This window comes from Homo sapiens, chromosome 14 (assembly GCF_000001405.40).
Source record: "Homo sapiens chromosome 14, GRCh38.p14 Primary Assembly".
Taxonomy (NCBI): Eukaryota; Metazoa; Chordata; class Mammalia; order Primates; family Hominidae; genus Homo; species Homo sapiens.
This window is the reverse complement of record NC_000014.9, coordinates 59,997,085-60,012,950: the sequence shown is the minus strand read 5'-3', so window position 1 is coordinate 60,012,950 and position 15,866 is coordinate 59,997,085. Positions and strand designations below refer to the sequence as shown.

The 15,866-nt window shown below is 35.1% G+C and overlaps 1 protein-coding gene and 1 long non-coding RNA gene across 23 annotated transcripts in view; one reads left to right on the top strand and one right to left on the bottom strand.

Moving 5' to 3' along the window:
* LRRC9 (leucine rich repeat containing 9) overlaps nt 1-15,866 on the bottom strand; it is a 147,105-nt gene that overhangs the window by 53,867 nt on the left and 77,372 nt on the right. For 14 of the 19 annotated variants that reach the window (NR_075071.3, XR_002957549.2, XR_002957550.2 and 11 more), the window contains 6 exons: nt 15,104-15,295; nt 13,725-13,850; nt 10,851-10,985; nt 9,153-9,330; nt 6,334-6,554; nt 4,737-4,859 (listed from right to left, as the gene is read on the bottom strand). Coding sequence is in view for 16 of the 19 variants with exons in the window: in NM_001355272.3 (NP_001342201.1) it covers nt 4,737-4,859; nt 6,334-6,554; nt 9,153-9,330; nt 10,851-10,985; nt 13,725-13,850; nt 15,104-15,295 (975 nt within the window). In the remaining 3 variants the exon portion in view is untranslated. Of the gene's footprint in view, nt 1-4,736; nt 4,860-6,333; nt 6,555-9,152; nt 9,331-10,850; nt 12,153-13,590; nt 13,851-15,103; nt 15,296-15,866 lie in introns of those variants that run through there. The other 5 variants (XM_024449574.2, XM_024449571.2, XM_024449572.2 and 2 more) reach the window with 5 other exon arrangements.
* The window catches only part of PCNX4-DT (PCNX4 divergent transcript), a 122,654-nt gene that overhangs the window by 78,796 nt on the left and 27,992 nt on the right, over nt 1-15,866 (top strand). Inside the window, exon 3 of one of the 4 annotated variants that reach the window (XR_007064198.1) lies at nt 1,691-5,423. The exons of 1 other annotated variant lie outside the window; for it this stretch is intronic. This is a non-coding gene — a long non-coding RNA (PCNX4 divergent transcript). Of the gene's footprint in view, nt 1-1,690; nt 5,424-15,866 lie in introns of those variants that run through there. 2 more of the 4 variants (XR_007064199.1, XR_007064197.1) reach the window with 2 other exon arrangements.

Here is a 15,866-nt window from a genome sequence, read left to right as displayed (position 1 = left end):
AATAAATAAATAAAATTGTACAAAAAATAAATAAAAAATAAAAACATATTAAGCCTTAGAAATACCATTGCTTTTGTGTTTTTCATAATTATACAAGCAACATATGATTAATGTCCTCCTAAATCAGGGGCTGACAAATGTTTTCTACAGTTTTCCTGTAAAGAGTCAGTCAGTATTTTAGCCTTTGGGAACAATAGCTTCTCTGTTGCTATTTAATTTTGCCACTGCAGTGTGAAAGCAGTCACAGATTATATATAAACAAACAGGCATGGATGTGTTCCAATAAAGTTTTATTTACTAAAATAGGTGGCAGGTCACATTTGGCCCAATGGCTATTGTTTGACAATCTATTTCAGACAAATGGTTTGAACTTGATCTAAATTAAACTGGTAAGTCATTTGATCTACTTTTACTCAAACTCCCTTCTTTTTTTCTAATCTGTTAAAACTTCATATCTAAATTGAGAATATGTATCCTTAATGCAAAAAATAATCTTTTACAAATAAAAGTACATAGGAACAAAAGATAAAATGAAAACACAACTACCCAAATTGTTCTTTGGGTCTTCCTAGTCTATGCCCTCCCTTGGTTTCTACTCCCACTCCAAAGAAGACAATGTAATTATATGTCTAGAGAGTGTTGGACAGAGAATGAGGCTCAGGTGCCCATGATTTACCATTAAAGAGTCACATAACTTGAAAGAAGTCATGTAACTTCTCTAGAGTTCCTTGTGTTCATACATAAAATAAAGGATTTGAACTATGCCATTTCCAAAGTTTATTTATATCTCAGACACTCTAGCATTATATATTACTGTACTACCTACCTCTGCACCCACTTTTCATGACTTCTTTTTCTACATATGTTTAATAAATGAAAGTATTAGAGCCTCACTTTGATTTCTTTACTTTCTCTACTCTCTTTCCTTAGACAATATTGCATATGCTTTTGGTCTTAACTGTTAACTCTCTTCAAATTACTTCCAAGTCCAAACATATGTAAAGTAAATTTTCATATGCATATTTAATCCTGTGATTTCAGCTGCCTGCTTGACATCTCCAGTCAGATGATCTTCTGTCATATAAAACTAATGTCTAATACTAATCATCTTACACCCCCAAATTGCTTTTCTTCCTATATTCATATTCTGTTATGGTGTCTTTTATTGGCATAGACTCAAGCCTTGTAGAAATCCTTTATTCTTCCTTTCCTTTGCCCTTCAAATCCAATGCATTCCCATTACCTTGCATTTAAAATCTAAATTCTTCAGTCTAGTCTTCATGTCCAATTATTAATTCATACATTTATATTCTGCCTTATTCCACAAATAATTTGTGGCAGCTTACAGGAAACACATATAATCAAATAGTAAAATGCAAACCATACATAGTGAAAATCACGCTCACTAGGATTAGTGACAAAAAGACTGTAAGATCCTATAGGGTTTATATTATTGAATCATAAATTTGGTCCTGAGCTTTTAGGCAAAGTGAAAAGGAATATAATTAAATAATACTCATTGATATGGATTGGCTCTGTGTCCCCACCAAAGTCTCATCTTGAATTGTAATAATCCACTTGTGTTGTGGGAGGGACCCAGTGGGAGGTAAGTGAATCATGGGGGTGGGTTTTTCCTGTGCTGTTCTTGTGATAGTGAATAAGTCTCATGAGATCTGATGGTTTTATAAAGGGGAGTTCCCGTGCACATGCTGTCTTGCCTGCCACCATGTAAGACCTGCTTTTGCTCTTCCTTCATCTGCCATGATTGTGAGGCCTCCCCAGCCATGTGGAACTGTGAGTCCATTAAACTTCTTTCCTTTATAAATTACACAGTCTCATGTATGTCTTTATTGGCAGCATGAGAACAGACTAATGCAGTAAATTGGTATTGGTAGAGTAATGTGCTGCTGTAAAGATACCCAAAAATGTGGAAGTGACTTTGGAACTGGGTAACAGGCAGAGGTTGGAACAGTTTGGAGGGCTTAGAAGAAAATAGGAAAAATGGGAAAGTTTGTAACTTCCTAGAGACTTGTTGAATGGCTTTGACCAAAATGCTGATAGTGATATAGACAATAAGGTCCAGGCTGAGGTGGTCTCAGATGGAGACAAGGAACTTGTTGGGAACTGGAGTAAAGATCACTCTTGCTATGCAAAGAGATTGGTGGCATTTTCCCCTGCCCTAGAGATCTATGAAACTTTGAACTTGAGAGAGATGATTTAGGGTATCTGGTGAAAAATTTGTAAGTGGCAAAGTGTTCAAGAGGAAGCAAAGCAAAAAAGTCTGAAAAATTTGCAGCCTGATGATGCAGTAGAAAAGAAAAACCCATTTTCTGGGAAGAAATTCAAGCTGGCTGCAGAAATTTGCATAAGTAACGAGGTGCCAAATGCAAATCGCCAAGAGAATGGGGAAAACGTCTCCAGGGCATGTCAGAGACCTTCACAGCAGCCACTCCCATCACAGGCCTGGAGGCCTAGGAGGGAAAAACGGTTTCCTGGAGTGGTCCAGGGCCCCCATACTTTATGCAGCCTAGGGACTTGGTACCCTGTGTCCCAGTCACTCCAGTCATGGCTAAAAGGGGCCAATGTATAGCTCAAGCTGTGGCTTCAGAGGGTGCAAGCCCCAAGACTTGGCAGCTTTGACATGGTGTTGGTCCTGTGGGTACACAGAAGTCAAGAATTGAGGTTTGGGAACCTCCACCTAGATTTCAGTGGGTGTATGGAAACGCCTAGATGTCCAGGCAGAAGCCTGCTGCCCTCTGCTAGGGCAGTGCCAAAAAGAAATGTGGGGTTGGAGCCCCCACACAGAGTCCCCACTGGGGCACTGCCTATTGGAGCTGTGAGGGGGGGACCACTGTCTTTCAGACCCCAGAATGGTAGATCCACCCACAGCTTGCACCGTGCACCTGGAAAAGCCACAGACACTCAATGCCAGCCTGTGAAAGCAGCCAGGAGGGAGGCTGTATCCAGCAAAGCCACAGGAGTGGAGCTGCCTAAGGCTGTGGGAGCCCGCCTCTTGCATTAGCATGACCTGGATGTGAGACATGGAGTCAAAGGAGATCATTTCAGAGCTTTAAGATTTTGCTGCCTCACTGGATTTTGGGCTTGCATGCGGCCTGTAGCCCCTTTGTTTTGGCCCATTTCTCCCATTTGGAATGGGTGTATTTACCCAATGCCTGTACCCCCATTGTCTCTAGGAAGTAACTAACTTGCTTTTGATTTTACAGGCTCATAGGCAGAAGGGACTTGACTTGTCTCAGCTCACACTTTGGACTGTGGAATTTTGAACTAATGCTGAACTGAGTTGGGGGACCATTGGGAAGGCATGATTGGTTTTGAAATGTGAGGACATGAGATTTGGGAAGGGCCAGGGTTGGAATGATATGGTTTGGCTCTGTGTCCACACCCAAATCTCACCTTGAATTGTAATAATCCCCACGTCATGGGAGGGACCCAGTGGCAGGTAATTGAATCATGGGGATGGGTTTTTCTTACGCTGTTCTCGCGATAGTGAATAAGTCTCATGAGATCTGATGGTTTTATAAAGGGGAGTTCCTTTGCACATGCTCTCTTGCCTGCTGCCATGTAAGACATGACTTTACGCTTCCTTTGTCTTCCACTATGATTGTGAGGCCTCCCCAGCCATGTGGAACTGTGAGTCCATTAAACCTCTTTCCTTTATAAATTGCCCAGTCTTGGGTATGTCTTTATTAGTAGCAGAGTTCAGACTAATACACTCATTGTCAGTGAGCAGAACATAACTTTTCCTTAGCGGTAAATGTTTTTTCTACATTTATTTCTATAAGTGCTTTTTCATGTGGCCCTTCAAATGAAGGCACAGAGAGATAGGACAGATAAGATCCTCAACAACATCTTTAGAGTAAATGCAGTACTGGTCTCATAGGACTATTTTAAAAAACATTTTTCAGTGAAAGCTAACAAATAAATAAGTCACAGTATACAAGGTTCTAGAGAATTTGTATGTGTTGGAGTGAGAAAGTTTTAGTGACCCATTCTGAGGATGGGCCAGAAAACAGAAGGGCTAGGATTAGTAATCTTCTTGGAGTACCTCAGAATACTAAATGATCATGAACTATCTTTCAATTTTCTAGAAAATTTGATGTGTTTTCTTTTCTGACAGGAGCTAGGCAACATTACACCATAAACCTTTTACTCTTTACACATTTGTCATGCATTTACCCTGCTATGTGGAAAACAGGAGCCCTATGAATTTGCTTGTTATAGAATCCAGTATCCAAATGTTGCTTTCACATTCAGTCCTAGGGTCTGTGTCTATTTTTCTTTACAGCTTACTTAGTAATGTTGACATACCACATGTTGGTTCAAATATATTTTTCTTAATTATTAATATTAGCAACTATATTTGCACTGAAAATAGAAAGCTGCTTTTAGGCTTAGGAGGATGCTAAATCCCCAGTGCATAATTTTCTATCCTGTCCCATAAAATTGTGTTCTTTACCTTTTAGGCACTGAATTCTGTGGGTTCTATTGTAAGCAGCACAGCCCTCCCTTTCCACCACAATTCAGACAATTAAGAATTGACCAGATGACAAAATTAAAAAACCCAGATCTAAAATAAGCTTTGGAGACCTAGATTTAATAAGTATAGTAAATTTGGCTATAATGCTAGTGATAAAGCAATGTTCAAAATGACTATGTCCTATAAATATGTGACTATGCAGCTTAGACCAAATGTTGTGAGTCATAAATCAACTTACAATTGGTATCCCATCCAAAGCTTTCAGTTCTGGAAGATGAAATATTACAAACAACCGGTAGTTTTCTTGATTCCATATAATGATGTTCCCACACATGTCTAGAATGACCAAGTTGCATAAACCCTAGGTAATAAAATACATATATTCATCTATATGTATATTTAAAGCACTCTAGTAAGAGGTTAGCCATCCTCAAATTTTAATATTGGAATTATCTATCATTCCATGGGATTTCAGTGCCTTTAAGTATACTTTTTTTTTTTTTTTTTTTTTTAAAGACATGGTCTCGTGCTGTTGCTCAGGCTGGAGTGCAGTGGTCTGATCATAGCTCATTGCAGCCTCAAACTCCTAGGCTCAAGTGATTCTCCCACCATGGCCTCCCAAAGTGCTGAAATTATAGACATAAGCCACCACGCCCAGCCTCAGTGCACTTTTAAGTGCAAGGGTTACCCTTTCAGACCACTTAGGTATATTTTGTGCAGTATTTCAATGGTCTATGTTATATAATCAGAATCCCTTTTAGGATACTAGTGCCAAATGTATTATCTATTAATGGTAAGGGCTTAGAGGGAACTTCACTATGTTTAAGACAAATATACTTTGTTTATGGAATAATGGCTTAATAAATGGATGTATGTGTCTATATAGATATAACAGGAATAAAAGACACTGCTATTTGAAAAGTGATGAAACTGAAGTGCTTCTACTTTCTGAGAGGGTAGTGGAATTCATCCTAAGGGAAATGTGCTGTTTTATTAGACAAGACACTTTGATATGCCTTTGTTGTGAAGGAAGGGTCTTGGCAGGTATGGAGGGGAGAGGTGAAAACAAGAGGGAGTAAAACTACTGAAAACAAGAGGGAGTAAAACTACTGTGCATCATAATGTGAAATGGCTTATTGTGTTGCTGGTGTTGTTGATTAGGTTGCCTCCCTAGCTCTAGAAGTAGTAATTATACTGGGGGAACGGAATGGGGAGAAGTCTGAACTAAGAAAAGACAGGAAATGGACACAAGTTTTTGGTAGGAGATAAAGTCCTAGTAATATTGTATCAGCAAAAGGACAGGCCAGTGTAAGACCCATAGTGTTAGAAAATGGCCACTGAGCTTTAGAAACAATGAAGTCACACATGACATTTGAAGTAAATTCCTGTTCTGTGCTATAGAAACCCTCTGTTTTGTTCAAACCTTTAGTAAATCCTATTACACAACAGCCTTAAATTAGTGGTTTTTTGGGGGAATTAACAAAAGCAAATCTGAGCAAAGGCGACCAAGTTTGAGCCACTGGTAAGAGAACAGTGAAAGATCATCACGAATTGTACTGAGAACAGGAGAATGCTAAGGAATAGGTTTGGTTTATCATACTTGAGTATTTAAAAAAAGTTACCCCAGAAGGATAGCAAATGGGGACATTATGTATACACAGATATATTTTTGTATGTATACAACATTGAATGCAAATACATTTTAATAAACTTGTTATTCTTATTTTTATTTTCTTTATATTTTCCAAATTCTGTGCAATAAACATGCATTACTTTCATAATATAAAGAAACAATACATGTTAAAAAACAAAAAAATTACTACCCAGATGATTACCTTTAAATTGTGCATCTCCTGATTGACAGCAATATAGTTATTGCTTATGTATAACTCAACAAGAGTAAAAGATTTTTGTAAACCACTCAATGAAGTGATTCTGTTGTTCTCAAGAGAAAGCGAGTGAAGATGAAGCATGTTATCAAAGGTATGCTCTTCCCAACCAGTGAGAAGATTATTATTTATGCTGAGGCGAGTTAATTTAGTCATCTTGGAAATACCTAGAAAAATAAGCAAATTCAAGAAAAGATTCAGATAACACTAAAGGTTTAATTTAAAAAATAAGTGGCTGGTCATTTTATTGTAATTAGATAGCTAGGTTCAAATGGCTTTAAAGATTCTGTAATACTAACCATCATTGCTTTAAGCCTTTGTTTTGGAAGAATATAATCTTGTGTATAAGCCCCATCTCAAACATTAAATTCAAATTTTGGATTTCTAAGTAGATTCCTTCTTCTTAGGAGTTAAGGAAAGGCATTACATGAAAATATTGAATTTCTCTTTCAAATAACCTTAAAATGATGTAATTAATTAAGATTTTCATCATTTTGAAAACAAAAAGCTCTACACAAAGCTCAAAATAATCACCAGCCCTCATTTTTAAATATTAAGGGTAAGGAACCACATTCTGGAAAGTGCATCGTTTGTATTAAAATGAACAATCTAGCCTACTTTTACTTGCTTATGCCTAAAAGTACTCTAAGATGGAAGTTTGGAAAATGGAACCAGTCTAACTCCTGCATACATTATGTACTGCAAGCACTTTATAAGTATAGCCAGGACAGTGCAGTTGAAAGACAAGAACTTCGGAATCCTAGTTGGCTTCAAATATATCACTACTAGGTTTGTGGCGATACATAAATTGTGTAACCTCTGAGCCTTAATTTCCTCATCCATAAAACGGGCATACTAAAATTTACTTCCAAGGAGTTATGAAATTAAATGGAATAATGTTTGGAAAGTATCAAATAATTATCTGTGCTCCCCTTTCACATCAGTTCCTATTGTGGGACTGTACAATGTTGAAGGTGAATCAATCCAGGGCAAGATAGGATCAAAGCCATCAAAGCAAAAATCATTAAATGGATATGGAACCTACCCATGTCTGAAGAAAAAGGAGAAATTCCTGTTAAAGTTTAGAGGGGTAGCTATCTTCTCCAAAATATAGGTGTAAGAAAAATATAGATTGGAAGATTCTTCTGTTTAATAGGTTTATGGAAGGAAATGAAAAGGAAATAGGGTTTTTAATTGTATGTACAAAGCAAAACTAATATCCAGTTGTATGGGAATGGGAGACTAGTGATAGGTCAAGACACAGGTGCCTGAGCTACCCCTAGGTTTACTCTACTGAAATCTACAGAAGAGAGGCCTGTGAATCTGTATCTTCAATAAGTGTCCTAAGTGATTCTCATGATCAAGAAAGTTTTAGAAACATATTGTTAACAGCCATTAAAATGAAATATGTCACAAATGTTATGTATGCTTTCTTAAATATATTTAATACTTGCTTTTATATATATAATTTTGTGAAATCAAATCTTCTATTTTATGAAAAATGCAGTATATACACATGATAAAAATAATCCAATTCAAAAATGAATAAAATGTAAATTCTGTTTCCCAGCCGTGATTTCTAATTCTTACCTTCCCTCCTTGACAAACACAACCATGTTACCAAAATGCACATACAGAAATATTCTTTATTCAGATAAGTGTGTGTGTGTGTGTGTGTGTGTATACACACATATACATATTTCTCTTTTCAATCAAATAGTGCACACTTGTGGACATATTTTTTAATTTCTAGGAGTTAGTTACTCTTTTGAGTAGATGGAGAGGGAGAATAAGAGAAAGTTGGTAGCAAGTCATGGAAAGCTTCTTTCAATTTCTTTCTAATGAAGGTAAGAATAAAATAAAGCTGGGGAGGAGTCAGAAAATACTTGACTTAGTAGTATATATTCTAGGACATGTTCTCTAAACTCATGATTTTTAGCTGTAGATAAGCATAAATCCAAATGAAGTGAAGAATCTAAGAAGCTTGGAAGGGGAAAGGGAGGAAAAGTCTTTTTTATTCTCTCTGGTTCAGAAAAATATGTTTTAATACTGAACTTTAAACAGTCAAATAAAATATATTATATTGGTATCATTATTATTAAGATATTACTAAAGCTGCTTAATTGGACTTGTATGTGGATCCATGGAAAATGTTACATATAGTATATTTTATTTTCAACCTCTAGTGAGTATAATTTTCATTTCTTGTTAAAGTATTCAAATTTCCAAATATAACCTCAATTTTATATTTTCAAAACAGAACTAGTCTGCTTTATCTTTTTCAAAAGCATACCTCATTCATTTGTTTACTCAACTTTACAGACATTAATGACTAACTAGTTGGTATGTGCTAATGTTTGGTAACAGATTATAAACTAGCACAGAGGAGAGGGGAGAGAAGGCACAGGAGGTGAAAGCTTGCTCGGGCTCATTATATAAAGTAAAATAGTCACGAATTCCACTAATAGGTATGAACTCGTTTTAATTTTTTATTTATCTTTTATTTTTTAATTTGACAGATAATATTGTATCCATTTATCTTGTACAACATGATGTTTTGAAGTATATATATACATTGTAGAATGGTCCAATCTAGCTAACTAATAATTGCATTACCTCACACAGGTATTTAGAATACCCTGCCACAAAAACTTGGAACTTTCCTAGAGATCTTCCTCTTCAGAAACTCTGTTCCCAGGGTTATTTTTTGCTTTGTTGTTTAGACATCCCATATTTTGAGACTTCAAAGTTCTTAAGTACCTTACCTTCTATCTTTGAGATGCAGTTTCCATCTAATGTGAGCTCTTCCAAGTTAATACAGGATTCCAGACCCTCCATTTTAGTGAGATTATTATTGCTGAATGATGCCCATTTCAAATTTTCCAATTTTTCTAAATTTGTGATTTCAAAAAGATGTTGTCCATCTAAATTTAAGGCAGTTATCTGTAGAATAATTTACATTGTATGTTATTTCTAAATCTTATAAATTCAGTCAATGTTAATAACATTTTAAAAAGCTAATGAAATAATTCAAATGTGATAAATAGATATCAAAAGAATTCCTTCAGGAGCTAAAGATATTGTGAAGCTGTCAGTTTACAGAAAAGTAAAATTTGACGAGATTATAACTCCAAGAAGGACTTATATGGTATTAAGGACACTGCGATGTGCTAGAGTCCCATTACAGTAATGGACTTGTCCCAGCTGCTGGGAGTGCTTCTGGCAGAGTCTTCAGCTGTCAGTCCCTGCAGGGACTGCCTTGCTGTAGACAGCTGCCAAGGTCACTCTCCTTCCCAGGTTGGCCCTCAGCCAGTGATGGAAGCCTATAAAGGCCTGACCATCTCAGCCCAACTTAGGACAAATTTAAAGGGCCATTCTAACTCCACTAACTCCAGAACTGCCTGTGGGTCAGCCAAAGCTGTCACTGGGCCTTCATTTGCAGCTCAATATCTATATATATCTTGTAATAAAAGTAATGCCAGTAATGTCTCCCATTTTCTGGGAGCAGCTTCACTTAGCCCAGTTTCTATGTTTGGCAAGAGGTATAAGGACACCTAATGTAGCAAGAAGCTGCAAGTGTTCTATAACCTTTTCCCTTATCCTTGGCTGAATTCTGACCAGCTCCCCTACTCCCTTGTCAGGATACCTGACTCTTGCTGTCTGAATTTTGGCTTGATCTCTGGCTCTGAGCCTTTAAAGTTTGCTTTCCTATTCTGACATGTTATCAGAATCTTGCCTATTCTGACATGTTATCAGAATACGGAATTAGAATGGCCCTTTAAATTTGTCCTTAAGTTTTAGTGCACCTTTATCTTAAATTTCCAATTCTGTGGCGAACGCAGTCAAGGCCCAGCCCATCTGACGTAGCCATTCATGACTTGACCTCCCTGTTTTTTATTTTTTGGAATATGACAAATGTATTACTTTTTACTAATAATAACAATGTCTTTCTTATTTTTATTTTTTCCAACTCTGTTGAAGTGTAATTGACAATTTAAAATTGCATATATTAAAGATGTATAACTTGATATAAGCATACATTGTAAATTAAAAACTGTATAATCTCAATTATATATGAACTCTAAAATAGTCAAACTCATAGGAGAGAGTAGAATAGTGGTTGCCAGGGGCTAGGGGCAATGGGAAGTGGGCAGATGTTGGTCAAGAGGTACAAGGTTTCAGTTATGCAAGACGAATACTTTCTAGAGACCCTAATGTACAACATCAAAGTTAACGATAACTTTAACGACTAAAGTTAATGACTAAAGTTAACGATACGGTATTGTATACTTGAAATTTGCCAAGAGGGTAGATCTTAAGTGTTTCTTCCCTATTTTAATTAATCTCTTCCAGCTTTCTGTCCCTTACCTATCTGTGCCCTCTTTATGATACACAGACCAACACTGACTTAAAAATAGATTTAAATTAAGCTTTATATTAGGTTTAATAGAATTAGCCTTTACCTTCAAGTAGCAGTTTCCACTCAGATGTAAATGAGGTCCTAACTTTGAAACCTGCGTCAGAATTTTGGCAGAAGGCCATATACTAAGTATCCGTGGTCTCTCCTCTTTAGTACTAGAATGCCGTAAGAGAGATAACTAATAAAATTTAAAAAATACAGTGAAAAAAGGAAACAGTATACAGAGGTTAGTTGATATATAGTTAAAATTATTGTTTCCAGGGAAGATGAGTGGCCCAATAAATAATTATAAAATGTAACATTTCCTTTGCCTTAAATTGTTTTCAATATCTAGATACATTTTAATTACATTGTTTCTTGTTTTAGCAAATGTGGAACCATTACAAGATAATATTTATAAGACTGTAAAATGATTACTATAATATGAACACACATAGAATCCACCCATGAAACCAGTTTAAGAGCTAGAATATTATGAATAGATTACAAGCACCCTGTGGGCCCGATCCTAAGCCCTTTTCTTTCCTTTTCTTTAGAAGTGATCATTATCTCAAATGTTTTGTCCACCATTCCTTGCTTTCTTTATAGTCCTATGTCTGTGTCCATAAACAATATATCATTTAGTTTTGCACATATTTGAAATTCATGTAAATTGAATATGTATGTATTCTTTATGACTTGCCTTTTTTGTTCAATATCATATTCATCAGATTCATCTAAGCTTCTCTATGTAGCTGTAGTTCATTCATATGTCCTATGTATAGTATTCCCTTAATGACTCTCCTGTCAATGAACATTGGGGTTGATTCAGTTTTTGCTATTATAAACACTGTCATCATGAATATTCTTGTGCATGTTTCCTGGTACATACATGCAAGAGTTTCTTTAGAGTATATGCACCTAAGTAAAGTAAAATTGCTGGGTTGTAGAATACACACACACACACACACACACAAATATACATCAGCTTTACTGAATAATGTCAAATTGTTTTCCAGAGTGGTTGTACCACTTCAGAAAAATTACACTTTTACTTCATATTCTTGCAACAACTTGGTATTGTCAGACTTTAAAGTTTTTGCTCATCTATAAAACTGGCAAAAATTGGTAGGTCATTGTGTTTTTAATGTTCATTTTCTTGAATGCTAATATGGTGGAGTATCTTTTCCTAAGTTAATTGGCTGTTCTGATTTCCTCTCCAGTGAAGTGTATGTTCAGATCTTCGGCACATATTTCTGTTCGGCTGGTTGTCTTTTTCCTTATATATTCTGGATATATAAAGAATATCTTTTGACAGTTGTGTCGCAAATTTCTTTTCCCAGTATGTAGCTTGTCTTTTCACTTTCTTTGAAAAAAGATATATTAATTTTAATGTAGACATGTCCAATTATTTATGGTTTATGCTCTTTGTTTCTTGCCTACTAAATTATTCACAAATTCAAGGTCATAATGATAATCTTTCATATTTTCTTCAAAAAAATTTTTGGTTTTGCCTTTTACAATAAACTCCTTAATGCCTTTTATTGAATAATCTCCCTGATCTACAAAGGCAGCTCTGTTATTTATAAAGTTTCCACCGTCTATATTAGGTTGTTATTCTGTTCCATTGGTCTATTTGTCTAGCTCTGTGCCAATACCACATTGTCTTAAAGGATTTTAGCAGGATTTGATTTCTTTTTAAAAAACTAATTTTCTTAATTTCATTTTAGATTCAGGGGGTACATGTGCAGGTTTGTTACAAGGAGACATTTCGTAATGTTGAGGTTTGGGGTAGGATTGAACCCATCATTCAGGTAGTGGGCATAGTACCTAATAGGTAATTTTTCAGCTCTGCCCATCTCCCTCCTCCCTGTCGTATTCTCCAATGTGTATTGTCCCCATCTTTATGTCCATGTGTACCCAATGTTTAGCTCCCGCTTATAAGTAAGAACTTGTGGTATTCGGTTTTATGTTTCTGTGTTAATTCACTTAGGATAATGGTCTCCAGCTGCATCCATGTTGCTGTGAAGTACATGATTTCATTCTTTTTTATGGCTGTGTAGCATTCCATGGTGTATATTTACCATGTTTTCTTTATCCAGTCCACCACTGATGGGCACCTAGGTTGATTCTGTGATTTCGCTATTGTGAATAGTGCTGCAATGAACATATTAATGCATGTGTCTTTTTAGTAGAACAATTAATTTTCTTTTGGTTATAGCCCCAGAAATGGGATTGCTGAGTGGAATGGTAGTTCTATTTTTAGTTCTTTTCTTAGGGTAAATTCCCAGCTCTTCTTTAGGAGTGTTATTATTATTTTTTATCAATAAAAAATTTCTTTTCAAAATTTTGAATAGATCCAAAACTAAACATTATATTGCCTAAGGAATTAATATTCAGATACTCCACAAAAAGTAAACAACTAGAAAACTAGAGTAGATATATTTAGGATGTTGAAGCTACTTTGGCTAAAGTACAGCATTCTTAATATGGATAACAAAGGTATTTCCCCTCCTTCCATGTTAATGGATTTTGTTCCTTTCAGCCAAACAAATATAATGTTAATATTAAGTAGATAGATAATTCACTAATGCTTTCTGAAGGCCTCTAAGCTTACCTTATCCTCAGACAGTTGCTTATTTTCATGTAGGCTCTAGAAAGGGCTCTGGTGAGTTCAGGTGACTGGTAAAAAAGCAGTTACCCTAGAGGTATTTTTGGTGTAGTGTTCATGGATAGTCAAGAGAATCCATACAACGATTTGGTATTTAAATGAGATACATTTAAACAGAAAAAATACCAAGTGGTATGATTGCTCTATATTAATTTTTTATTAATAGGCTAAGAGGGACTATAAAATCTTAATGACAGAAAAAGAGTATGCAAAATATTATCTGTATGTTCTAAATAGCACAATGAATAGTAAACAGTAAAATCCAACCTGAGTAATCCTTGTTCCTGCAATAAATTTCATAGCTGCTGTTGCTTCTTCTTCAGAAATGAAGACTCCATTTAAATGGGTAAGAGTCTTTAATCTGCCAATAACACTCAGCCTCAATGTGGCTGGCTTGGGAAAAACAAAAAAAAAATTTTTTATAAACTGTTAAATATGTTATGGCATGAAAATGACTGTTTTCATGTCTTTCCATATAATTCAAAATCATACATTTCCTTGTTCATTACATATACCTAAAAAAAGCTTAATTATTTAAATAATAGTTGAAATTATGTTGAATAATTAATCTGTTTGTTTGAAGGTTGATGATTCTACTCTGATGAGGAAGGGAAATCCCATAAGCTATTGAAAAGTGACTGCGGTGAAAAGTGTTAAAAGAACAACTGTAGTGACTCCTGTTTATCTAGATCAGCAGTAAGCTAGTCATCTCCATGTGTGATTCAATATGGATCTTTAGCCCTTGACAATCCAATTTGGCAACAGAGAGATAGCTGTACTGTGATCATCCAGGAAATATGCTTTGGCAAAAGAAAAATATTCTTCACTTTTACTGAGCAAAAAAGAAGAAATACAATAATATAAACTTAGTAATATGGTCAATTTAATAGAACCTACTGTGCTTAGTTTCCTTTTTAAAGGCTGAACACAGCCTGATATACATCTTTTAAAGGCAGAGAAAGGAAGATTCTTGACTTTATAATCTTGGGACTTATTTTAAATACTTGAAGATATACTTAAATATAGTCATGGAATATGGAAATTACCTAGCATTAATCTACATATTTTTGTAATGAGAAAAAATAATGTTCAGATTTCCTTTTTATAAGAGAACATAAGACTTTATAATGCAAGTTTATGAGGGGAGATGATTTCTGGACTTAAAACAGAAAACAAGTAGTGAATAATGCAAAATGCAAAATAAAATTGTAAAACATGTTGTTCAACCACAGATTAGGATATATTATAAATCAAATTATGTTTCTTCCTTAATAGTGTGCCCCTCTCACTGTATTATATTATTCTTGGTTCCTATGACTCATTAAAATAGAGTTCTGGCACACTGAACTATATAAAATATCTGGAGGTTTGCAAATGGCAATGACATCAATGACTAAAAGCAATAATGTTCTCAATCTATTAGAGGTTACAAAAAATCTGTTTTGAAATTATAGTCTTTTCTTATAGTAACATCTGATTCATTTGATCAGTACATTAAATCCAATTTATGAATGACTTCAAGGAAGGAAGTCTAGAAAAACGAAGATACTTTGCCTATCTCTGGCTATTACTAAATAGTAAAGTTAGTAGGGAAATGGCTCTGAAAATAAAAATGTTTGCTTTTTAGTAACATGTCTGTGGCATACCTTTTGCCATGGATTATGTTGAATATCAAGAGTGAGAAGGCTTGTGGTGTGTTTGCATAACATATTTATTTCATTGCCAGATTTTTTCAGTTGATTCCAGCTCAAGTCTAAGTGCTTCAGTTTCATCAGACCTCTAAATCCCTCAAGGGTTATCACATGGTTATGGCTTGCATCCAAATATTCAAGGTTATACTGCAACACATATAAATAAAAGTGATGCTAAGAGAATCATAATTTGTATTTACAAAATAGTTTCTCTGTGGTTCTTTACATACTTTACACACTTCCTGGTAATCCTCACAGGACACATAAACAGTAGTTATGTTGCAATGATGGTATCAACATATGCATTTGTCTAAAGAGCTACAGGTATTATGTTTTAGTAATTCTCTTTCAATTCATATTTTACCCTTGTAACACCGAGTGGCAATGTCTGTTTTCATAGGAGAGAAGACATAAAGAAACTGTCAAGATAATTTATCCCCAACAAACAAAATGTACTTTTTAATATATAGGCTTCTTGTTTATACTGTTGAGCCCCATAGCCTGCTTTAAAAAGGTTCATCTTCAGAGTTAGAAACTAAACCTGTTAACTTAATACTAATAATTTTCTTTTTAAAAAGTGCATACTTTTAAATAATAATTTTCTTAAATCATAAAAGTAACACATGTTCCTTGTTGGAAATTTGGAAAATATAGCAAATAAATGAAAAGAAAAAATAGAAAACATATATAATCCTATTGCTCAGAAAGAACCACTGAA